Source organism: Homo sapiens, chromosome 11 (assembly GCF_000001405.40).
Source record: "Homo sapiens chromosome 11, GRCh38.p14 Primary Assembly".
NCBI lineage: Eukaryota > Metazoa > Chordata > Mammalia > Primates > Hominidae > Homo > Homo sapiens.
In genome coordinates, this window is record NC_000011.10 from 69324953 (window position 1) to 69349812 (window position 24860).

The 24860-nt window shown below is 46.5% G+C and overlaps 1 long non-coding RNA gene across 1 annotated transcript in view, besides 4 other annotated features; it reads left to right on the forward strand.

Annotated features, from left to right (window-relative positions):
* Positions 1–12187: 12187 nt before the first annotated feature.
* The window catches only part of LOC105369370 (uncharacterized), a 35372-nt gene continuing 22699 nt past the window's right edge, over positions 12188–24860 (forward strand). Inside the window, exons 1-2 of the long non-coding RNA XR_950269.4 lie at positions 12188–12484; positions 16558–16726. This is a non-coding gene — a long non-coding RNA (uncharacterized LOC105369370). The remainder of the gene's footprint in view (positions 12485–16557; positions 16727–24860) is intronic.
* Positions 12448–12677: an enhancer, noted in NCBI's record as "active region_5158". NCBI's record gives its function as "activates an Ori minimal core promoter by ATAC-STARR-seq in GM12878 lymphoblastoid cells {active_cell/tissue: GM12878}" and the evidence as "EXISTENCE:reporter gene assay evidence [ECO:0000049][PMID:35858748]".
* Positions 13893–14394: an enhancer, noted in NCBI's record as "H3K4me1 hESC enhancer chr11:69153613-69154114 (GRCh37/hg19 assembly coordinates)". NCBI's record gives its function as "activates a minimal SCP1, AML or CMV promoter by ChIP-STARR-seq in naive H9 embryonic stem cells {active_cell/tissue: H9 hESC(naive)}" and the evidence as "EXISTENCE:reporter gene assay evidence [ECO:0000049][PMID:30033119]".
* Positions 14395–14894: an enhancer, noted in NCBI's record as "H3K4me1 hESC enhancer chr11:69154115-69154614 (GRCh37/hg19 assembly coordinates)". NCBI's record gives its function as "activates a minimal SCP1, AML or CMV promoter by ChIP-STARR-seq in naive H9 embryonic stem cells {active_cell/tissue: H9 hESC(naive)}" and the evidence as "EXISTENCE:reporter gene assay evidence [ECO:0000049][PMID:30033119]".
* Positions 17542–18474: an enhancer, noted in NCBI's record as "H3K4me1 hESC enhancer chr11:69157262-69158194 (GRCh37/hg19 assembly coordinates)". NCBI's record gives its function as "activates a minimal SCP1, AML or CMV promoter by ChIP-STARR-seq in primed H9 embryonic stem cells {active_cell/tissue: H9 hESC(primed)}" and the evidence as "EXISTENCE:reporter gene assay evidence [ECO:0000049][PMID:30033119]".

The following is a 24860-nucleotide window of genomic DNA, read 5'->3' on the forward strand; positions in this document are numbered from 1 at the left end:
TAGTGATGCTAGTGTTAATGATGGTGATGGTGGTGGAGGTGGAAGTGATGGTTTTGGTGGTGGTGGTGGTGGAGCTGAGAGTGATGGTTTTGGTGATGGCGGTGGTGGTGGTGATGGTGATGGTGGTAGAGGCAGAAGGGATGGTGTTCATGATGGTGGTGGTGGATGTGCGGGTGATGGTTTTGATGATGGTAGTGATGCTGGAGGTGGAGATGGTGAGGTGGTGGTAGTTGTGATGGGATGTCAATGTGGTGATGGTGGAGACAAAGGTGGTGGTGATACCTCACAACCTCAACCCAAGAGAAGCATAGCAAGAGAAGATTTGAAGTCGGAGGACCTTACTTCTGGGTCCAATTCTGCTACTTACTATCTGGAGACCTGGGGCAACTTGCCTGGACTCTCTGAAGCTCAATTTTCTCATCAGTAAAGGGAGTGATATTGCTTCCCTTTCTGGGCAGTGTGGGGATTATAGTGGCCGAGGCCTGTTGTCGCCTGTGATTAACTGTAATTCTGAGGCACTGTGGGCCTCGAGGATGGGCCAGCTCTGGCTGCTGTGCAGACAAGGCCAGGGTCTAGAGAATGCTGCTGCAGAGGACCGCGGCATCCGAGACTTTTTTCTGGGGAGCAGGAGACCCTCCTTGTTCAGTGGGCAGCTCCTCTTCCTTTTGGGGAATCTCACACAATGTATGTTTCCCTCGGTGTGGTTCGGAGGGGGCTGGCAGTCCTAGGATCCATGCTTCCCGGTCACAGGGGTGGACCTTTGATGCAGGCTGGGCCCAGTGTATCTCTCCCAGGGCCTCTTCTGCTTTGGCTCAAGAGCTACAAAGCTGCCTGAGCCTGCCAACAGTTTTCTTCCCCCTTGAAGAGTCCCCGTTTGCCATGGGAAGTCTAAGGATAACTCACTAAGAGCAGCAGAGGCAAGAAGCACTGAAAGAGGAGGATGGGGAGAAAGAGGAGGAGAAAGACAGATGGTGCCAAAGAGAAGCCCAGGGGCTTCGTTGAAGTTGCTGAATCCAGCTGTGCCTGAAGATAGCACCATCCACTCCTAGCCTCTGAGTTACACAGGTTATAGAATGACCTCAGGAGTTGGAGTTGGGCTTCTGTGTTTTGCAAACCAAAGAATCCTTCTCTACACCTCTCACCCCTTCAGTCTCCCAGAATTCCCAGAACCTTCCCAAGAAAGCAAAATTTATGACAGGGCTGACTTCCAAATGTGGGGACAAAAGACTCTGGTCTTGGCAGACCAAATCTGGCTTATTCCGGCTGTCTCTTTCCAGAGACCCTGGGACTGACCCAGCTCTAGGCCCCGATGTCCGAGGACAGAGGTCGAGATGTGCTGCCAACCCTCATGTCCCCAGGCAGCCTCTTTATAGGAAACTTTTTATACACAGCGGAACAGACTGGGTATGGTGGTTCACGCCTATAATCCCAGCACTTTGGGAGGCCGAGGCGGGCAGATCACCTGAGGCCAGGAGTTTGAGACCAGCCTGGCCAACATGGTGAAACCCTGTCTCTACGGAAAATACAAAAGTACCCGTTACGGTGACTCGCGCCTGTAATCCCAGCTACTTGGGAGGCCGAGGCAGGAGAATCGCTTGAACCCGGGAGGTGGAGGTTGCAGTGAGCCGAGATCGTGCCACTGCACTCCAGCCTGAATGACACAGTGTGACTCTGTCTCAATAAATAAATAAATAAACAAACAGTGGAACACAGTGACTGCACTCATGGATTACATAAAGTCTCATTTGAAACAATTGAAATGACACAGGAAAATGCAAGGAAAAAATTCTTTAAAAATCAGCTGATAGTCACCCCTGCCCCCAGAGATGACCCCGGGAACCCTCGCAGACACTCTCCACTTCTCCCCAGGTAGACACATGCCACTTCTTGTCAGCGGAATGGCTACGGGCTGTTCTGGAACTTGCTTTATTCAAGCATTGGCATATTCTGTAATCTTTCTGGGCAACGAGCACAGCTCCCTGACTTGTTAAAATGAAACTTCTTGGTCACCTATTACAAGAACTTATTTGTTCAATCCCCAATGATGCACATGTAGGTTGTTGCCAATTTTTTGTGACCTTGAACATCCCTGCAGTGGGCACACTTGTGTGTTCAGATTTCACACCTAGCCCATTGTTTCTGTGGGGTACATTCCTAGACGGGGAATTGCTGTGTCAGAGCATATTTAGATTTTAGAGGGATTTGACACATTCTACTCAAGTTTGCTGAGGATTGGAAAGCTGGTGAGAGAGGATGCCGGTGAACCCCAAATCTTCGACCACACTGGGTTTTATCAGAAAGAAAAATGATTTTTTTTTTTTTAAGATGGAGTCTCGCTCTGTCGGCCAGGCTGGAGTGCGGTGGTGCAATCTCGGCTCACTACAACCTCTGCCTCCCGGTTTCAAGCAATTCTCCTGCCTCAGCCTCCCGAAGAGCTATGATTATAGGCGTGTGCCAACACGCCCGTCTAATTTTTGTATTTTTAGTAGAGACAGGGTTTCACCGTGTTGGCCAGGATGGTCTCCATCTCTTGACCTCGTGATCCACCCACCTTGGCCTCCCAAAGTGCTGGGATTACAGGTGTGAGCCACCACTCCCGGCCCCCAAGAAATTATTTTTGAGGTAGGAGAGAGAAGTCGGTAAGAGGGCCCCACTTTTAGGAACCATAGCTTCCTCACTGCTCAGTACAGGCCCTGCTCGTCTTGATGGTGGAAAAACAGGTGATGGTGGTGAGGGAGGAGGAGGAGGAGGAAGTGTCGTGGAATGTGGCAGCTCTGTTAGGGTGAACAGCTGTTCCAGCTCACCTGGGATTTTCCTGCTTGGTTTTGTCACTGCAAGGTCCCCATCTTGGGAAGCTTCTCCTCTGCATGGGAGAATCAGAACTGTTGGTCACCTACTTCCAGCTTCCGGGGCCTGTTTCCCAAGGCCAGAGGCCCTGCTGGTATGCTCTGTGCCTTCCTTGGGGACAGCAGCTCCCATGTGTGCCTCCCATGCTGACTTCTGGGAAGGCACGTGCTGAGAAGCGGCAGGCCCAGTGCCCAGCAGGCTTGGCCACTGGCTACCAGGGCTGGCAGCACAGACTGGTCCCAGGTCTCCTGAATTCAGGAACCCGGGCAAAGCTGTGCCCATTCCCATGGGGGTGGCTCTGCTTCATCCACCCGGAGAGGCTGCTCACAGGTTGATAAAACTGCTGTGTCATACTGGACCCAAGGGGCTCGCCTCTCCCCTGTCCCCATCCTGCCCAGTGGAGGAAACTGAGGCATGGGAAGGGGAGTGACTTGCTCAAAGTCACATAGCTCTGAGTCTCCGAGCTTGGACCGGAATCCAGGTCTCCCTCCTCCCAGTGAGTTGCTCTACCCTGAACCCAGGGACAATGTGTATTGCTTTGGGAAAGCTGCCTGGCACAAGGCTCTTATGGCTTTGCACCCCCCTGTCCCGTGGCTACAGGGCCGGCAGCTTCTCTCTGAGCTGTTGCCTGATGGAAGTCCAACTCAACAGGCTTGAACAAAAGGGGCTGGCCTGGCACAGAACAGGCGTGGCGGGCCCAGGCTTTACAAGAGGTCAGGAACTTTCCTTCCATGGTCGCTCGCTCTCCTACCCCCATCTCTGCTGCTTGAAGATGGAAAAGTAGAATCAGCACACCCAGTGAGCCTGGAGAAAGAGGCTTGCATCTAATTTCTAGAGAAGCAATGGGTTCCTGTCTGGACTCCATATTAGCAAATGCAAGCCTCTCCTGGTCCGAATAGAATCCTGTACCCTAGTTTATCTTTCTCCCTCCATTGGACTAGCTCCTCCTAATCTATCTTTACCCATTCCATCCGTCCAATATGTTAGAAAAAGAAGGGCCATCCAAGTTATTCCTTTAATGGCCGCCTTAGGTATAACCTCCGGGCTTGGGTTGGGAGCAGGCGGATTGACCACCTCCTTAACATACTTTAAAGCTCTGTCAACAGAACTGCAAGGTTCATTAAAAGATATAGCCCAAAGCCTGATAAAAGTCCAAGACCAGGGTGGACATGGTGGCTCACGCCTGTAATCTCAGCACTTTGGGAGGCCGAGGCTGGCAGATCATTTGAGGTCAGGAGTTCGAGACCAGCCTGGCCAACATGGTGAAATCCTGTCTCTACTAAAAATACAAAAATTAGCTGGGCACATGCCTGTAATCCCAGCTACTCTGGAGGCTGAGGCAGGAGAGTTGCTCGAACCCAGGAGGCGGAGGTTGCAGTGAGCCGAGATCATGCCACTGCACTCCAGCCTGGGCGACACAGCAAGACTCGGTCTCAAACAAACAAGCAAACAAACAAACAACAAAAAAAGACAGTCCAAGACCAACTAGACTCTTTGGCTGGAGTAGTCCTCCAAAATAGATGGTGATTAGATCTTACAATGGGTGAAAAAGGGGGCCCCTGCCTCTCATTGGGTGAAGAATGTTGCTTCTATCTCAACCAATTGGGCCTAGAAAGAGATGCTGCTGAAAAACTTAGAGGGCTAAAAAGCTAAGAGAATACCCCGACAACCAACTAAATTCTTGGTTTAAAAACAAAATCCTAACATTAAGACCATACAGTCTTCTTTCCTCTTATCTTCATACCTAAAAGAAAGATATTTTTGTTCCCTTTCAATTGTTTGTTGAGGCAGAATTGACATACAATAAACTGCATGTGTTTAAAGTGTACAATTTGGTAAGTTTTGACATCTTTATACACCCATGAAAATATCACTATGATCAAGACAATAAATATGTCCACAACCCCCAAAGTTTCCCATGTTCCTCCCCACCCCCATCCCCAGGGAAACGCTTCTCTGCTAATTCTCATGATAGGTTGTTTGCATTTTCCAGAATTTTATATAAATAGGGTCATAAAGTATGCACTCTTGCTTTGCCTGGATTCTTTTGCTCAGTATAAGTATTCTGAGGTTCATCTACATTGTCACTTGTATGACTAGTTTGTTCCTTTTTATTGCGGAGTACTGTTTCACTAAGTGGATGCACTGGTTTGTTTTTATCTACTCCCCAGTTAACGGACATCAGAGTTGTTTCTAGTTTGGGGCTATTACAATAAGGCTGCTATGAACATCTGTGTATAAGCCTTTGTATGGATATAGGCTTTCATTTCTCTTGGGTACATATTGAGGAGTGAAATGGCTGGGTTATAACTACTGGTATTGAGATTGAGATTGTTTTGAATCTGTAGATCCATTTTGGGGGAATTGGCATCTTTTGACCCATGAATATGGTCTATTTCTCAATTTATTTTGGTATTCTTTAATTTCTCTCAGCAAATTTCAGTTTCACACAGGTTTTTATCAGACTTGTCTATGTGTGTATTTCCTATTTTTGTCGTGTTTCTGTAAATGTTTTTATTCCGGTTGTGTCATGTTGCTATTATACAGACACACAATGGCTTTTTGTATATGGATCTTCTATACCGCAAACTTGTTAAACTCGTTGGTGACTTCTAGTAGCTTTTTTCATAGACTCCATAAGATTTTCTCTGTAGATGGTCGAATTGTTTGTAAATAAAGCAGATTCATTTGCTCCTTTCTGATTCAAAGACACTTCCTCTCTCCCTCCCTCCCTTACTTCCCTTCTCTTTCCCTCCTCCTTCTTTTTTCTTTCTTCTTAAAATCTTACTAGACTGGCAAGAACCTTCCATGCAATATTGGTTAGAAGTGGTTAGAGAGCACATCCCTGCCTTATTCCTGATCTTAGAGGGAAAGATTTTGGTCTTTCACTATTAAGTATGATGTTAGTTGCGGGTTTTTCACAGATGCCCTTCACCAGGTTGAGGACGTTTCCTTTTATTCCTAGTTTATTGAGAGTTTTTATCAGCAATATATGTTGGATTTGGACTAATGCTTTTCCTGCATCCATTGAGACAATGTGCTTTTATATTGTAAATATAATATTTTCGCAATAATATTATGAATTACATTGTTTTCTAATGTTAAACCGAACTTGTATTCCTAAAATAAACTATACTGGATCATATGTATTATTTTTTTATGTGTTGCTGGACTTGATTTTTAAAACTTTGTTTAGAATGTTTGCATCTATTTCATGAGGGATATTAGTTTGTAGCTTTCTTTTCTTGTAATATATTTGTATGATTTTGATATTACAGTAGTGCTGGCTTCATAGAATAAGTTGGAAATACTCTTTTCTCTTAAATTTTCTGGCAAATTTTGTGTAGATTGAAATTATTTCTTTCTTAAGTGTTTTGTAAAATGCACCAGTGAGGCCTAGAGTTTTCTTTGTAGTAAAGTTTTTAACTTCTTAAAAAATATGGACTATTCAGGTTATCTATTTCTTCTTGAGTGAGCTTTATTAGTTTTTGTCTTTCAAGGAATTTGTCCATTACATCTGAATTGTCAAATTTCTTCGCATACAATTATTCATCATATTCCTTTTAATATGTGTGCAATCGGTAGTAATGCTACCTCTTTCATTTCTCATATTGGTAATTTGTCTTCTTTCTTTTCTTTCTGATGAGTAGGGTTTGATGTTTGTAAGTCGGATTGATCTTTTCAAATTACCAGTTTTGGGTTTCATTGATTCTATTTTTTTTATTTTATTGATTTCCGCTCTAATCTTTATTATTTCCTTTTTTTCTGTTTCTCTTTGGTTAGATTTGTCCTTTTTTCTCTAGTTTCTTCAGGTAAAAGCTGGGATATTTTAGTGCTATAAATTACTTAGAGTACTGGTTTAATCACATCCCACAGACTTTGTAGGTTGTGTTTTCATTTTCAAATATTTCAAAATGTTTTCCAATTTCCATTTTCTAATTATCTTTTTGATTTCTTTAAACTGTGCTTTACAGAGAAGTGTTATTTAGTTTCCAAATATTTGGGGATTTTACAGATATCATTCTATTATTTGGTGTCTAATTTTATTCTATTTTGGCCAGAAAACATGCATTGAATGATTTGTATCCTTTTAAATTTATTGAGATTTTTCACGCCCTTTTAAATTTATTGAGATGAGATTATGATATATTTTTGAAAAATGTTCTGTGTGTTTGAAGATAATTTATATTTTGCTGTCGTGAGTGAAGTGTTCTAAACATGCCAGTTGAGTCACATTGATTGCTAGATTGCTAGTGTTATTCAAGTCTTCTACATTCTTCTTCTTCTTTTTTTTTGGAGACAGAGTCTCACTTTGTCAGCCAGACTGGTGTGCAGTGGTGTGATCCTGGCTCACTGTAACCTCTACCTTCTGGGTTCAAGCAATTCTCCTGCCTCAGCCTCCGGAAGAGCTGGGACTACAGGCATGCACCACCATACCTGGCTAATTTTTGTATTTTTAGTGGAAATGACGTTTCGCCATGTTGGCCAGGCTAGTCTAGAACTCCTGACCTCAGGTGATCTGCCTGCTTCGGCCTCCCAAAGTGCTAGCATTACAGGTGTGAGCCACCATGCCCAGCCCTATATTCTTGTTGACTTCTGTACATTTGCCCTGTCAATCATAGAGCTGTTGAAACCTATTACTATAACTGGATTTGTCTATTTCTTTTGTAGTTCTATTCATTTTGCCTCATGTATTTTGAAGGTCTTATTTGGCATATAAACATCTAGAATTGTTATGTTCACTTGAGAATTGAAACCTTTTGTCATTATGAAATGACTATTCCTGGCAATATTCTTTCCTCTAAAATCTACTTTGCTATTAGTGTAGCAAAGTAGCAAATATGAACATAGCAAAGTACATTAGCATGGTAATTAGTGTGGTACATCTTTTTTTATCCTTTTGCTTTAAAATTATTATTTTTTTTATATTTAAAGTGGGCTTCTTGTAGGCAGCATGTAATTGGGTCTTGCTTGTTTTATCCAACCTATCAATCTTTGTTTCTTAATTGAGGTGTTTAGACCTTTACATTTAATGTGATTGTTGATATAATAGTATTTAATTCTGCCATCATGATTTTTGTTTTGTATTTGTATTACTTGTTCTGTGTTTCATTTTCCCTCCTTTCTACCTTCTTTGTGATTGAGTATTATTCATTCCTTCATTTTATCTTATTTGTTGGTTTATTAGCTGTAATTCTTTGCTGTATTATATTAGTGGTTGCTAAAGCGTTTATAGTATACATCTTTAACTTATCACAGTCTATCTTTGAATAATATTATCCTTCAGTGATATTATACTACCTAACATCTAGTAAAAGAAATTTATTGCAGTATACTTTCATTCCATGTCTCACCTTTGTACTATTGTTTTCATACCATTTAGGTGTCCAGTTGTGTTTGTGTCTGTATATGTGTGTGCACAGCAGTGAGAGGCAGCTATTATAGTTCCCATTTAGTTGTTGAGAAAAGTTTGGCTTTCCCACTTGTAAAAATCCTTTGCAGCTCAAATGTCCCCTCCTCCAGGCAGCCTTCCCCAGCCTCTGCCAATGACTTGAAATATTTCCCCATGTACAGGCATCCTTTGCCTGGGCCACACTCTTCTTGCAGAAGCAGGGCATGTCTTTTCTGTCTGCCCCATCAGATGGTCACCTACTTGAGGGCAGAGCTCAAAACCACAGGACTCTCCCTTGAGTCTTTCACAGCCCCTTGTCCACAGCTGGTGCTCCATATGCACTTACTGAATTGGCCTGAATGCCACGAGCCAGATTCAGCCCTGGCAGCAACCTCGTGGCTTCTCAAGGTGTGATGCTATGAAAAAAGCATGAGCTTTGAGATTGGAAAGACATGACTTAAAATTCTGAGCCCACCACTAATTGGCTGTGTGTGACTTGGGTGAGAAAGCATCACCTGAGCCTTTGTCTGTCCATTTGTATAATGGGGATCCTGTCAGGCTGGCTATAAAGACAGCTACAATGCACTAAAGCACTAGAACTTTGGCAGGTCTGTGTGGGCACTGAGGAAACACCAGCTTCTCTGATTCTCTGCCCCACACCTCCTTTCTGTTTGGCCCCCTCTCTTGCCCTGGGCCAAAGCTTAAAGTCTCACATCGTGAAGTCTTTCTGGTCCCTTTGTCCATTTGTCCATTTGCCAGTCCAATCTGCAGCCAGATGTCTATCCCCATGAGAGTCTGTCCTGCCAGAGCATTTAATAAATTTGTCATGGGACAGCTATGAGGCCACAGAGCAAGCCTTCCCAGGACACCTGATACGGGCTGGATAAACCCACCAGGCCTCTGGGATTAGTGTAGGTGGGAAGCCCAATTGGTGGTTGCTTAACTATTCACCCTATGATTCAGGAAGCTGAGATGGGGTGGGAAAGGTGATTGGCTACAGTGGGAGAGGCCCCAAGTTCCCCCATACCCTGGGGTGACCATGGGATTCAATTGTGGTTCTTTGTGTCCAGGGAACAGAAACCAACTCCAGCTGACCTAGGCAAAGGGGGCATTTGTTGGATGCATATGGGGTAGATTAGTGAATCTAAGGAAAACTACACCCCCAAGCTGGAGAGGTTGAGAGACAGCTCCAGGCATATTGGGAAGAGAGGCTGGACAGGAGAAAAGGCAACTGGTGCTCACCAGCCCCTGCTACATTCCTCGCCAACCCTGGTCTAATGCTCAAGGTCTTTGTACTGCAGCCATTGAACCTAAGACCTGGGCCCAGTCCTGGTGCCACCTTCAGTGGCTGTGTGACTTTAGGCAGGTCCCTTCCCCTCTCCAAGCTCAGTGTCTTCAGCTTGGGTTGTGAGAGTCTAATGCCATAGAGGATATGCTTGGTACAGTGAAAAGTTCTATGCCCTAGAGAGAGGTTGTCACTGCTTGGTGTGTGTATTAGCTTCCTGTGGCTACGGTCACAAATTAGCACAAATGAAGTAGCTTCTAACAATGCAAATTTATTCCCATACATTCTGGAGGTCAAATGTCTGAAATCAGTCTCCCTGGGCTAAAATCAAGGAGTCAGCAGGGCTGGTTTTTCTGGAGGCTCAGGAGGGAAATCCACTGGGGGCCCTTTCCAGCTTCTAGAGGCCACTTGTGTTCATTGGATTGTGGCCCCTTCCTTCATGTTCAAAACAACAGCATAGCTTCACCACACACCACAATCATTTCACCCATCGGCTTCTGTTGTAACAGCACTTTGCTTCTGTCTGTCCTCCCTGCCTCCTCTCTAAGGACCCTGAGATTCAATTTAGAGCCCACTTGGATAATCCAGCTCGGGATCATTTCCTTACTCACATCCGCACAGCCCTGTGTGCATATGCACAGCTCTGTTTGCGTATGCATGACCCTGTTTGCATATGCATGAATCTGTTTGCATATGCACGACCCTGATTGCATGTGCACAGTTCCGGGCATCAGTGTGTGGACACCTTTGGGAGGCTGGCAGTCAGTGCCCCACAGCGTGGCCTGTGCCCAGGGATGCCTTGATGTGGGGCAAAGAGCCTCGGTGGACACACCTGGGTTGACATTTTGACCCCCCATTCAATGCCAGTGGGGCACCCCTGGATGAGTCATTTGATCTCTCTGGAGCTCTTCATCCAGGAGATGGACATGATAGTTCCTGCTCCTCAGGGCTGCGGAAACTGAATGAGACCATACAGCTGTTTGTAAATGTGTCTTTCAGTGGCAGAGACTTCCTTTTCATCAGAATCTGGTGAGGAATCTCCTAACACACAGAGGTGATGGAAACACGGCTGCTGGGACCGGTGGACTCCCCACCTTCCCCACACAGGGCCACCCCCTTCCTGCCTGCAAGGACCCAGGGCTAGGAATGCAGTCGGAGAACCTGTGCGATAGAATGCAGCCTTGGGGTTCACAAGCAGGGGACGGGGACAGCTCCTCACTCTTCTACCTTGCTCTGTCCCACCCCATGGAGGGAGTGACACGGGAGCTACGCAGAGAAAAGAGCAAAGTGTGTCAGTGTCATGACTTGCCAAAGCTGATTGGAAGATGTGGCAGATTGTGTTTCTTTTCCCAACAATGACTGTCTCCTCCCTTAAGAGAATGGGATGTCCCCACCAACGCCATGTGGCTTGGCAGTGCCGCCTGCAGAAAGCGCCTCCATTCCTGTCCCTGTGCTGCTGGGGAGTACCACCTGCTTGCTTTGGTCAATGGAAGATGAGAGGACAACATTGACCCTTGGTCTGAGTGCAAGCGCTAAGTGCCATTGAGGTTGACGTGAGAAGAGCATGTGCCACCAGGAGCTGTGCCTTCAGCATGAGCCCTGGCACGCAAGCTGTGGGCAGACTCGTGGCTCCCATGCAAAGTGCAGGGGACATAAACCTTCACTGCTATACACCTCTGAGAGGTGCGGTGGTTTATACCACAGCAAAACTGCCAGGCAATGTAGCTTCCGAATGCTGAGTCATGCTGGGCTAATGATGGCCCTGTCTACTCGTACCTGGAATCCAGCCCTGGCCAAGCCCACTGAGGGATGTCTAGATTTGGGCACACGAACTTAGCTATATGTTACGTTATCTAGCCTGGGGCAGAGAGGGAAGGCAAGATATCAAGCCCCATGCCTAGGACTTTAAAAAAAATATCAGTTTTTACAGAGGAACAATTTACGTTCAATACATTGTACATCTTTTAAGAGTGAAGCTCAATGATCTTTCTTTGTGAGACAGGGTCTCACTCTGTCACCCAGGCTGGAGTCCAGGCGTGCGATCTCAGCTCACTGCAGCCTTGACCTCCCAGGCTCAAGCGATCCTCCCACCTCAGCCTTCCAAGTAGCTGGGACCACAGGCATGTGCCACCACACCCAGCTAATTTTTGTATTTTTTGTAGAGATGGAGTTTGACAATGCTGCCCAGGCTGGTCTCAACCTCTGGGCTCAAACAATCCTCCTGCCTTGGCCTCCCAAAGTGCTGCGATTACATGTGTGAGCCACTGTGCCCGGCCACAATGACTTATTTTTATTTTTATTTATTTATTTATTATTTTATTTTTATTTTGAGATGGAGTCTTGCTTTGTTGCCCAGGCTAGAGTGCAATGGTGTGATCTTGGCTCACTGCAACCTCTGCCTCCCAGGTTCAAGTGATTCTCCTGCCTCAGCCTCCTGAGTAGCTGGGATTATAGGCACCTGCCACCACACCCAGCTAATTTTTTGTATTTTTAGTAAAGACGGGGATTCTCTATGTTGGTCAGGCTGGTCTTGAACTCCTAACCTCAGGTGATCCACCTGCCTCGGCCTTCCAACACACTGATTTTTTAAAATCTACTTTGCGGAGGTATAATTTGTATACAATAAAATTCACTAATTTAAGCCTGCAATTCAGTGAGTTGACAAATGTACACAGTTGGGTCACTGCCACTTTTACCAAGAGATAAAACACTTTCAGAAAGTTTCTGCACGCCTCTTTGCAATCAGTCAGCCACTCCCCACTTCAGGTAACAACAGAGCTGCTTCCTGTAGCTACTGTGTGAATTTACGTGTCACAGAATGCTGTACAAACAGAGTTCTATGCAGCCCGGGCTCTTTGTCCACCTGGCTCAGCATGGCCCCAGTGACTGCATGAGGCTGTACGTATCTGCAGCCTGCCCCTTTTCATGGTGTTTATCCACTCACACAGTGATGAGCAGTGGTAAGCAGTGGGCTTATTTCCACTTCCTGCTGCTATAAATATTTGTGTATGACTCTTTTCGTGGGCAGATGCTATTTCTCTTGGGAAAGCACCTAGGAGTGGGTTGTATGGTAAAAGTATATTTAACTTTGTAAGAAACTGCCAAATTACTGCAGAATGGCTGTACACCTTTCCATGGCCACCGTCAGTGCATGACAACTCAGATGTTCTCCATCCTTGCCAGTGCCGGGGGTGGCCCATCTCATCTGATGTGCTTTAGTGGGCATGGAGTGGCATCTCACTGGGTTTAATCTGTATTTCCATGATTACCAATGCTGATGAGCACCTTTTCATGAGTTTATTAGCCAGTTAGGTATTTCCTTCTGTGAAGCATACATTCACACCCATTGTCCATATATTTACTGAGTTATCTGTGATTGTGTTATGAGAGTCCTTTAGACATCCTTTTTTTTTTTTGAGACTGTCACTTTTACCAAGAGATAAAACACTTTCAGAAAGTTTCTGCACGCCTCTTTTGCAATCAGTCAGCCACTCCCCACTGCAGGTAACACCAGAGCTTCTTCCTGTAGCTACTGTGTGAATTTATGTGTCACAGAATGCTGTACAAACAGAGTTCTATGCAGCCTGGGCTCTCCTTTGTCCTCCTGGCTCAGCACGACCCCAGTGACTGCGTGAGGCTGTGCGTAGTGTGCTCAGTGGCACGATCTCAGCTCACTGCAACCTCTGCCTCCTGGGTTCAAGCGATTCTCCTGCCTCAGCCTCCTGAGTAGCTGGGACTACAGGCGCCCACCACCATGCCCAGCTAATTTTTGTATTTTTATTAGAGACAGGGTTTTTTACCATATTGACCAGGCTGGTCTCGAACTTCTGACCCTGTGATCTGCCCGCCTTGGCCTCCCAAAGTGCTGGGATTACAGGTGTGAGCCACCGCGCCCAGCCTTTTTTTTTTTTTTTTTTTTTTTTTTTTTTGAGACAGAGTCTTACTCTGTTGCCCAGGCTGGAGTGCAATGGCGCGATCTCGGCTCACTGCAACCTCTACCTCCCGGGTTCAAGTGATTCTCCTGCCTCAGCCTCCTGATGAGTAGCTGGGACTACAGGCACCCGCCACCCTGCTGGGCTAATTTGTTTTGTATTTTTAGTAGAGACAGGGTTTTGCCATGTTGGCCAGGCTGGTCTCAAACTCCTGATCTCAGGTGATCCACCCTCCTCGACCTCCCAAAGTGCTGGGATTACAGGTGTGAGCCACCACGCCCAGCCGAGAGTCCTTTAAATATTCTGAATGCAAACTTTTGTTGGAGCTGTGCGTTGTAAATATTCTCTCACAGTCTGTGATTTTGCCGTGTTTTTTGAAGTGCAGAGGGTTTTAATTTTGATGAAGTCAATGGATCAATTTTTTAAATTTTGTGGTGAATACTCTCTGTGTCCTTGTGATTTCCTTATTGGCCCATGAATTATCTTGGGGTGTTTTTCTTGACTGCTTTCTTCTCTACTGTGGGTCACATTTTCCCATCTGTGTTTTTTCTTTTAATACCTAGGAATGTTTTTGTTGTGCACCCACCTTGTGGGTGATGTGTGGTGGAACCTCTATTCCTTTTCCCCCTCTGAGGAGCGTTGGGATTTTTCTGCTCACCCTGAACTTGCACGTACTTGGCTTTATACTTTGCCGCGTGGGTTTGTGGGAGCCCAGGGTGCTCCCCAAGCCTCTCTGACGTGGTTGGACTCCACCACCCACCCTCTTCCCCCACAGATCTCATCAGGGCTTGACATAGGTTGTGATGGGGTGAGTCTGAAGCGGGTCTTGCTCCTGAGTGTCTTTCATCCCAGCTGGATGCCCAGGTGCTGGAGACCTCTGCACACTGGGTGGCTGCAGCCCCCTTGACCCCACGCTTTACTGGAACCACAGCATCTCCTTCCCTCCCTAACTCTGCAGCAGCCACGCTGGGCACCCCTCCTGTAGCCTCATCCTCCCCAGGACTCAGCCGAGGACTCCTGGCTGGGGGACCCCTGATGGTACCTCTGCGCCTGCCTCCCCCACAGCAGAGCCTCTCTGATGCCCTGCCTCATAGCTCCCAGAAGCTTCTGGACTGTGAACTCTGGTCTCTGCCTCTTGAGCTCAGTGGGACCACTCTGCTCTGTGAGGCCTCCTGCCTGCTGAGCCATGGGGGGAGATGGTCTCCAGGGGTGGCATGGCTGGCTCCTGAGCGCCCTGCCTCTCAGCATCAAGTCATGCACTGCTTGCTGTTCACTGCCCGCCCAGAGTTGTCTCAAACATGCTGTCCAGTTCAATCATGTGTGTTTGCAGTGGGATGGCCCGTCCAGCACTAGTTACCCCAACACGGCTGAAAGTGGAAGAGACCCAGAGTGTTTTAATCAATTTACTGAACTCTACCTAGAAATACAAGCCAAAGGTGGACACCCCTATAAAATAAGCCATTCTCCATGGGGTGCAAGGATGAAGTGTAGGGCCATGGGCCAGTGTGTGACTCCACAGGGCATTAGGGAAGAGGATGGCGTATTAGTCTGCTCTCATGCTGCTAGTAAAGGCAGACCTGAGACTGGGTAATTTATAAAGGAAAGAGGTTTACTGGACTCACAGTTCCACATGGCTGGGGAGGTCTCATAATCATGGCAGAAGGCGAAGGAAGAGCAAAGGCACATTTTACATGGCGGCTGACAAGAGAGTGTCTGCAGGGGAACTCCCCTTTAAAAAACCATCAGATCTCATGTGACTTACTCATTATCACGAGAACAGCATGGGAAAAAAACCCATGAATCAGTGACCTCCCACTGGGTCCCTCCCACGACATGTGGGGATTATGACAATTCAAGGTGAGATCTGGGTGGGGACACAGAGCCAAACCATATCAGATGGGCTCCTCCAAACTGGGGGCATGTTGAACACAGTGCCTGGTACATGGGAGGAGATGACGACAGTGTCCCCTCTGTGGAAAGATGGGTCCTGCTGCATAGCTAAGCTCCCTAGAGCCTCTGCCTCCTGCCCAGAGCCTACATCTCTCATGGCTTCAAAGGAAACTTCTGGAAGCACAGATGGCCCAGCATCCTAGAAGGGCTTCCCCTGCAGGTCAGAAAGTCACCCTGAAAGCTCTCAGTTCAGGGCAGCCATCTTTGGGCTCTTCCCAGCATTGGCTGTGAGGGGATTCCAATGACAGCCTCCCCTCCATATGTAGGACACACCTGTGCATACATAACTCTTTCCTGTTTAACATGCTGTGGGCACAGAGACAATGCTCCATGAGGAAACCATGACCCAACCTTTACCCCATCCTCGGATAAGGAAATGGAGGCCCAGAGAAGGAGCCACCTGAAGCCACGCCACGAGCCAGGATGAGACCCCGGCAGCAGGTGCTCTGTTTCTAGCACACCCCAGCTGGTCTTTTCATTGAGTGCACAGATTTTTTTTGAGGCACAAATGCAGTAAAGTTTCATTTATGCATTTGCCCATTCATTTGTCTTAGGACTGAGATGGCAGAGGGCTCCCAGACTTCCCTCTGCCTCCCCCTGCAGGGGTCTGGCTTTACCCTCGGTCTCTTCTTCTTCCTCCCACCTCCTGGAGGAAGTTTCTGTCCTTGCCCCTTGGTGTTTTGGGCCTTTTGGGATGCAGATTTGGGATGGAGAAGCACGTTGGAGAAGGAGAGCAGGAAGCAGGCTAGTGAGGGCCATGCCTGTTGCTGGAGTACATTGGTATAGGCCCTGTGTGCCCATTATGGGGTTTGAGAGGTGCAAGGTAATAGCTGGAGACATTCTGAAATTAGTTTTGAGGTTCTGGAGGGGACACACCGCTGGCTGGTGAACTCGATCACATTCCCAACTCTTTTAGGCCCAGTACCTCCCATTACAGAGGACAGAAGAGCCAAGCGCTGCTGTTTGCAGCTTCTTCAACCACTGGGGGTGGCCATGTAACCCATTCTGTCCGTTTCCCACAAGTCTTTTGGGAACTTCTGGGAAAGGTTTTTTGTTTGTTTGTTTTGTTTTGTTTTTGTTTTTTCTTTCCTGATTAAAAAAGAAGATACACATACCTGAAACTGTCCTTCCTCTTCCTTCCTACCTTGAAGGTGGAGGCAATGCCCAGAGCTGTGGCAGCCACCTTGCAGCCGTGAAGCACCAGTGGGAATGACAGTCAAGAGAACCACGGAGATGCCAGCCCCTGGACCCACAGCAGCAGCACCTGCTTCCAGACTCAGAGTGTGAGAAAAAAATAAACTCCTATTTGTTTATGGCAAGGTTAGTTGGGGTATCTGTTGTTTGTTATTGAAAGCATTCCTAGCTGATGCATAGACTCTGTGTGTGTGTGTGTTTAACCACAGCACTGAGACTGGACCGCAAGGGGCATGGCTCCAACAGGGTTATGTGTCTTTTTTTTTTTTTTTTTTTGAGACAGAGTCTTGCTCTGTTGCCCAGGCTGGAGTGCAGTGGCACGATCTTGGCTCACTGCAAGCTCTGCCTCCCGGGTTCATGGCATTCTCCTGCCTCAGCCTCCCAAGTAGCTGGGACTACAGGCACCCGCCACCACGCCCGGCTAATTTTTTGTTTTTTATTAGAGACGGGGTTTCACCGTGTTAGCCAGGATGGTCTCGATCTCCTAACCTCATGATCCACCCGTCTCAGCCTCCCAAAGTGCTGGGATTACAGGCGTGAGCCACTACGCCCGGCCAAAATCTTGGTTATGTGTCTTTTGACAAATATGTGTTGAGCACCTGCTGGTGACAGGCATGGGGTCGGCGGAGGTTATAAGGCAGATGGACACTTGCCTCCGGAAGTGGGGGTGGAGCAGACAGGGAACGTATGCCCTTGAGGGATGCGAGGCCACGACAGGGGAGTGGAAGGGAGTGGTGCCTGCATCTGATCTGTTCTGGAGGCTCTGGGGAAATGACACTGGGGCTTAGGCATTGTTATAGATTGAATTATGTCTCCCTAAATTCATTTGTTGTAGTTCTAACCCCAACACCTCAGAATGTGACCTTATATGCAGATAGGGTCTTTACAGAGGTAGTTAAGTCAAAGTGAAGTCGTTTGGGTGGGCTCTAATCCAATCTGATGGGTGGCCTTGTAATGAGGGGAAATGTGGTCACAGAGAGAGGCACGGGGATAAGCCAAAGAGAGAGGCCTTGGGGGAACTGACCCTGCCCATACCTTGATCTTGGACTTCCAGCCTCTGAGACTGTGAGATGATAAACATCTGTTGTTGAGGCCATCCAGCCTGCAGTGCTTTGTTACAGTAGCCTGAGCAAAGGAATACCCACCTGGAAGATGGGCATAAATTCACAAGAAGGGAGGGGAGGTGTTTGGGGGATCAGCAGGTGCAAAGGCAGCAAGAGAGTCCTGTGCCCTGGAGAAACAAGGGGCAGGCCGTGCACGATGGGGCAAGGCCAGACACAGGCAAAGGCCAGTCCTGCAGGCCTGGGGGTCCCCGCCCAGGCAGTGGGTTCTTTCCTGGGGATGGTGGCAGGGACACAGAAGGGAACAGAGAGGACAGCCTGCTCCAATATTCCCAGGCATTGCTGTTCATATGATGGGGTCAGAGGCTAAGTCCAGGCAAAGCGAGCCAGGAAAGAGTCAGAAAGGAGCCAGAGTGGGCGTGAAAGACCTGCTGCTTTCACAGGACAGGGGCTGGGTCCCAGGCCCCCAGCCTCATGCCATCGTCTGCAAAACAGCCAGGGCCGCGTGCTTCTGTCTGAAGGGCTGAGCCTTGAGGTGGCCTGAGCCGGAGGCCCCTCAGCTCCCTGGGGACCAGAAAGTCCGCTGACAGCACCTCTGAGGAAGCAGTTGCGCATTCTGGGCTAAGCTGCCAGTGCACAAGGAGGGAACCACATACCAGCCAGCCCCATCTGACACGGCGCATTTGCACTGAACCAGAGGGAATACTTCCTTCCTAAAGGTAGAATGAATCCTAAACAGCCAAAGAATTGTAATCATCCATCGCCATACCCACGGCACACTCTTCGATCTTCCATTTTGCCACTTATCATTGTTGGGTTGATTTGCAAACTTGGAGGTGGCATGCAATTCTGCTGTGTGGAATCAACTCCCTGCTGGTCAGCTCTGAGGGACCCATTTGTTACCTGGTCATGGGATGGGGACTCCCAAGCATCTCCTGCTGACCAGCCTCCATCCCTGAGTGAGGAAGGTCCTGGTGCCAAGCTTGATGCCAGCTGTCACACACAGTCTAGGCTTCCTAGCAGCCCTGTGCCTTGGGGCCACTATCATCCCTGTGTTACAAGTAGGGAAACTGAGGCTCTAAGAGGCCAAGTACCCTGCCAGGTTAAGCAGCTCCCACCCTTGGCCCACTCCACTGCCTGTGCTGCCATCAATCCCTGGGGACTCTTCCTGGTGTGCCCCGTGTTCTTCCCATGTGAAAGGACCAAGGTACCAGCATCTCAGGAATCCAGGCCCCTCTGGCTGTGGCCTCCCTCAGCATTGCTGCTAAATGTAAAGCCAAGAAGGTGCAGACAGCAGCTTTGGGCTTCCCGAGACCCCTTTGGGCCAGAACGTGCAGCCGGCAGGCGGTGAAGCAGCGTGATTTCTGTGTCCGATCCCCGTGACCTCTGAGATGCGGAGGAGACGGAGGTGCAGCAGGGCCACAGCAACTCACTCATTCCCTGACCCATTCCTTCCTTCATTCATTCACTGTGGACTCTGCCAGCAAACCCCTGAGGCAGCAGCTGGATCTTGGTCTTCATCGAGGACTAGCAGGAGAGGACAAAGTGAGACCAGAAGTGACCGCTGCACCTCGTGTGACAAGCTGGAGGTTCTATGAGTCCTCTGACAGGGGCAGGCCTGGCCTGGGGGCCCAGAAATGCTTTGTGATGAGAGAGTCAGTGAGCTGAGAAGGGGTGGGAGAGAATGGCCAGGGAAGAGATGAGGGTGTTCTGGAAGGGATGGTGTTTACAGTTGAATTATACCCCCTCCCAAAGGTGTATGTTGGAGTCCTGACCCCCAGTACCTCAGAGTGTGACCTTATATGGAGATAGGGTCTTTATAGCGTAATCAAGTCAAAGTGACGTTATCAGGGTGGGCCTCAATCCAACATGGCTGTTGACCTGATAAAAAGGGGAGATTTGGATGCAGAGATGCGTATGGAAAGACAACCATGGGAGGACTCAGGGAGAAGATGCCATCCACAGGCCATGAAGACAGGATTTGGGGGGAACCAGCCCTGCTCACTCCTTGTCAGATTTCTAGCCTGCAGAACTGTGGGATGATAAATGTCCGTTTTCGCACTGCTATATAGAACTACCCGAGACTGGGTAATTTATGAAAAAGAGGTTTAATTGACTCACAGTTCCACATGGCTGAAGAGGCCTCAGGAAACTTACAGTCATGGCAGAAGGTGAAGGGGAAGCAAGCACCTTCTTCATAAGGTGGCAGGAGGGAGAGCAAGGAGTGGGGACGTGGCACACCTTTAACCCATCAGATCTCCTGAGAACTCACTCACTATCATGAGAACAGCCTGGGGGAAAGCACCCCATGATCCAATCGCCTCCCACCACGTCCCTCCTTTGACAAGTGGGGATTATGATTTGAGATGAGATTTGGGCGGGGGCACAGAGCCAAACCCTATCACCAGCCTGTGGAACTTGGTTAAGGAAGTCTGGAGAAACTGGTATAATGGGGCTTTGGATGCTCACATGCAGAAGTGCTGAGCTCAGAGAGGGCTCAGGGGGACAAGGATGACAGGGTCAAAGATATATTTTACATTTTTATTTACTTTTTTATTAAAGTATAAGCTACAGGAAATTTAAGTGTACAGCTTCATGAATTTTTAATTCAATTTTTCTGAGATATGATGAAAGTACAATAAACTGTGCATACTTAAAGTGTGCAATTTCACGAGTTTGATGTATGTAAACCACATGGGGCCATTGACACTGTCAAGGTTGTGAGGCCATCCCTGATCCCCCGTCACACATTTCTTTTCCCTGTGCCCCTGTAGTCCACCCCCATCTCCAGGCTTGTCCCCAGGCAACCATGGGCCTGCTTTCTTTCATGATAGATTGGTTTGCATTTTCCAGAATTCGGCACAAATAGAAACACAAAGGATGTACTCTAATTTTTTATCTGGTTTCTTTCTCTGAGCATAAGTGCTTTGAAATTCATCCGTGGTGTGGTGTGCATCAACAAATCATTGTTTCTCTTTTCTTTACCTTTTTTTTTTTTTTTTTTTTTTTTTTTGAGATAGAGTCTCACTCTGTCACCCAGGATGGAGTGCAGTGGCACAATCTCGGCTCACCATAACCTTCGCCTCCTGGGTTCAAGTGATTCTCCTGCCTCAGCTTCCTGAGTAGCTGGGACTACAGGTGCACGCCACCATGCCCAGCTAATTTTTGTATTTTTAGTAGAGACAGGGTTTCACCATGTTGGCCAGGTTGGTCTCGATCTCTTGACCTCATGATCCACCTGCCTCAGCCTCCCAAAGTGCTGGGATTACAGGCCTGAGCCACCGCGCCCAGCCAATCATTGCTTTTCATTGCGGAGTAGTCTTCCATTCCACGGAGACACTACAGTTTGAGTATTCAATCAATCACCCATTGATTGACATTTGAGTTGTTGCCAGCTTGGGGCCATTAGGAATAAAGCTGCTATGAACATTCATGTACAATTCTTGGTAGGGACATAGTTTCCATGCCTCCTGAGTAAATACCTGCGAATGGAATGGTTAGGTCAGATGATAGGTATATATTATTTAGCTTTCTAAGAAACAGTCAAACTTTTCCAAAGTGGCTGAGCCATTTCAAACTCCCAGCAGTGTATATATGAGCTCTAGTTGTTTGCTATGCACATCTGCACATGATATGTGTTGTCTTTTTAATTTTCATCATCCTAATAAGGGCATCGTGATCTTTCATTGTCATTTCAATCCATATTTCTACAATGGCTGATGATATGGAAGATTTTTTCATGTGACCATTTGTTTATCTTCTTCAGTGGAGAATTAATGCAAATCTTTTACCCATTTTTATTGGCCTGCCTTGTCCTTCTTCAGCTGTAAGGGTTATTGATATGTTCTGGATATGAGTCCTTTATCTGATCTGTGTAATGAATGTTATCTCCCAGTCCAACACGACACTTGCCTTTTCCCCAGTCTGACACTTACCTTTTCATTTTCCTACTGGCATCTTTCAAAGAGCAAGAGTTATTAATTTGGTAAAGACCAATGTATTAACTTTTTGCATTCATGATTTGTGCTTTTTGTAGTCTATCTAGGAAATCTGGGCCAACCCTGAGGTCACACATATTTTCTTCTCTATTTTCACCTAGAAGACTTACAGTTTTCAGTGAGGATTGCTGTTCATTTGGGAATCCAATTGATTGAAACCAGTTTTTGAAAAGACTCTATGTTCCCTCCACTGAATTGCCATGGCACTTCTGCCAAAAATAAATCGACTGTATGTGTGTGAGGCAGTTTCTGGATTCTCTATTCTGTTATTCCATTGATCTGTGTGTCTGTCCTTCCACCAATGCGAGGCTGTCTCAATTCCTGTAGCTTCTCAAGTATGACTTAAAATTAGACAAATCCTCCAACTTTGTTTTCTTGTCTATAATTTTTTTCATCATTTTAAGTCTTTGCATTTCTCTATAAATTTTAGAATTAGCTTGACAATTTTTATCAGGATTGTGTTGACTCTGTAAATGTGTGAACAATTGCCACCTTAATATTGAATCTTCCAGTTTATGAACAATGATATATGTCTTAATTTATTTAGGTCTTAAATTTCTCTCAGCAATGTTTCATAATTTGTGGTGTTGAGTATTGGTTGTCTTTTGTCAGATTATTCCTAAGTTTTTTTGTGGAAGTTTATTTATTTATTTATTTTGGTGCTACCCTAAATAGAATTTTAAATTTTCTTTAATTAATTAATTCATTTGTTTGAGATGGAGTCTTGCTCTGTTGCCCAGGCTGGAGTGCGGTGGCGCAATCTTGGCTCACCGCAACCTCCACCTTCCAGGTTCAAGTGATTCTCCTGCCTCAGCCTCCTGAGTAGCTGAGACTACAGGCACGTGCCACCACGCCCAGCTAATTTTTTGCATTTTTACTAGAGACAGGGTTTCATCATGTTAGCCAGGATGGTCTTGATCTCCTGACCTCATGATCTGCCCGCCTCAGCCTCCCGAGTGCTGGGATTACAGGCGTGAGCCACTGCGCCCGGCCAATTTTCTTTATTTTTTAACTGTTTGCTGCTATTTGTATAAGAATGGGGTTAATTTTGGTACATTAACTTTGGATCTTGTGATCTTGCTAAGCTCACTTAATAGTTGTGATGGTTATTTTATGGGTTTCCTGAGACTTTCTATGTAAATTTTCATAGCAGCTGCCAATAGAAACAGTTTTATTTCTTCCTTTTCAATTTTTAGTAACTTTATAGCTTTCCTTTTCTTTTCTTTTTTTTTCCTTATTGCAATGACTAGGATTGCCAGTACAATGTTGACCAGATATAGCTACAGAAGGTGGGCACCTTTACCTTTTCCTTGACCTTAAGGGGAAAAAATGTGAGACTCAGCATCATAATAGTGCCTGTAGCTTTGTTGTAGATGACCTTCGTTCATTTGAGGATGTTCCCTACTATTACTAGTTTGCTGGAATTTTTTTTACTATGAGTGGGCATAAAATTTGATTGAATGCTTTTCTAATATGTATTTTTAAATTCATAAGGCTTATCTCCTATATTTGGTTAATATTATTAATCATATTGATTGATTTTTGAACATTTGGCAGACCTTGTATTCCTGGCTTTAACCTTACTTAGTTCTGATATTATTTTTATATATGATGAGATTTGTTTTGCTAATATTTTTAAAGAATATTTGTGTCTATATTCATGAGGAATGTTGGTCTACAATTTTCTGTTTTTGAATGTCTTTGCCAGGTTTTTATATTAGTGTTATGGAATCTGCAGGGTGTCACTTTTCTGGCCAGAAACCTCTGTATGGCTGGTGGCACGTTTATCTGAGTTTTTATCCTGCATTAAGGAGGACTGAGATACACAGATAAGCAGAGGGTGAGCAAGATGAAGAGGAGCTTTATTTAGTGTTAGGACAGCTCAGAGGAGACCCGCAGTGGGTAGCTCCTCTCTGTAGGCAGGTCATCCCCTTGAGTGTTCAGCTCTCAGCAGAGAGAGTCCCTGAACAGGGTAGCTCCCAGCTGCAGCTGGTCATCCTGTTGTCTGCTCAGCTCTGACTGAGCCTGGGGCTTTTATGGGCCTCACAGGGGAGGAAGTGCACACCGATTGGTCCATGGGCAGCCATGGGCAGCCATGGGCAGCTGAGAAAAGGCACCAGCTCCCACTCTGGTGCATGGGACAGGCAGCCTGGTCCCTAGCCTTCAGGCCCTTCCTGGCCTGAATGTGGGGGCCTCACCAGTGGACCTGTCCTCTTCTGCCCAGGAATCTGTCTGCCTCCCACTGCTGTTCATGGTGCCTGGGCTTGGCCCTGACTTTGCTCCAAGATCAGAGTAGGCACCGACAAAAGGGATAAGCCAGGTAGCAGGTGCCTGGGAAGTCAGGAAGCCAGACTTGGGTGGCTGCAGCTTCACCCAGGAGGGTGGGTCTCCTGCCTTCTCCGTGGAACTGGAGGCCTGGGTCTGCAGCCACAGTTTGGGTGGTGGCAGGAGCACTCAGGGAGCTCCTCAGCCAACTCAGAAGGGGTGGGGCTCCCGCTTGTTCCCCCAGCTCCCGGTGGCTCCATGGAAGGTGCAGCCCCTGCTGCCTTCCTGAGCAGCTGCTGCCTTCTTTAGGGTTATGCTGGCCTTATAAAATGAGTTGGGTGATGCTACCTCTTCCTTCATTTTCTGAAAAAATTCCTTAAGATTAGTTTATTTCTTCCTTGAATATTTGATCAAATTAACCAATGAAACAGTCTAGCTCTGGATTTTCCTTTTTAAAAAGTTTTTGGTAAAAAAAAACTTTAGCATAATAATGAGATTTCTTTAACAGGTGTAGTGCTATTCAGATATTCTGTTTCCTCTTGTATCAATTTAAGTTTTACTTCTCAAGAAATTTGTCCAATTAATTTAAGTTGTTGAAGTTTTGGTATAAAGATGTTTATGATAGCCCTTAAAAGTCTGTAGGATCTGTGTTAATAATAAATACCCTTTCAGTTTCTGCACTGGTAGTTTGTATTCTCTCGTTTTTACTTCAACAGTCTAGCTAAGAGTTTATTAATTTTGTTGATCTCAAATAATCAACTTTTGGCTTTTTTTCCTTCTTTTTTGTCTGTCTGTTTTCTATTTCATTTATTTCTGCTCTTACTGTTATTTTTTCCTTTCTTCCACTTAATTTGGCTTTACTTTGCTCTTCTCTTTTCTAACTCCTCAAGGTGGATCTTCAGGTAATTGATTTTAGATTGCTCTTGCTTTCTAATG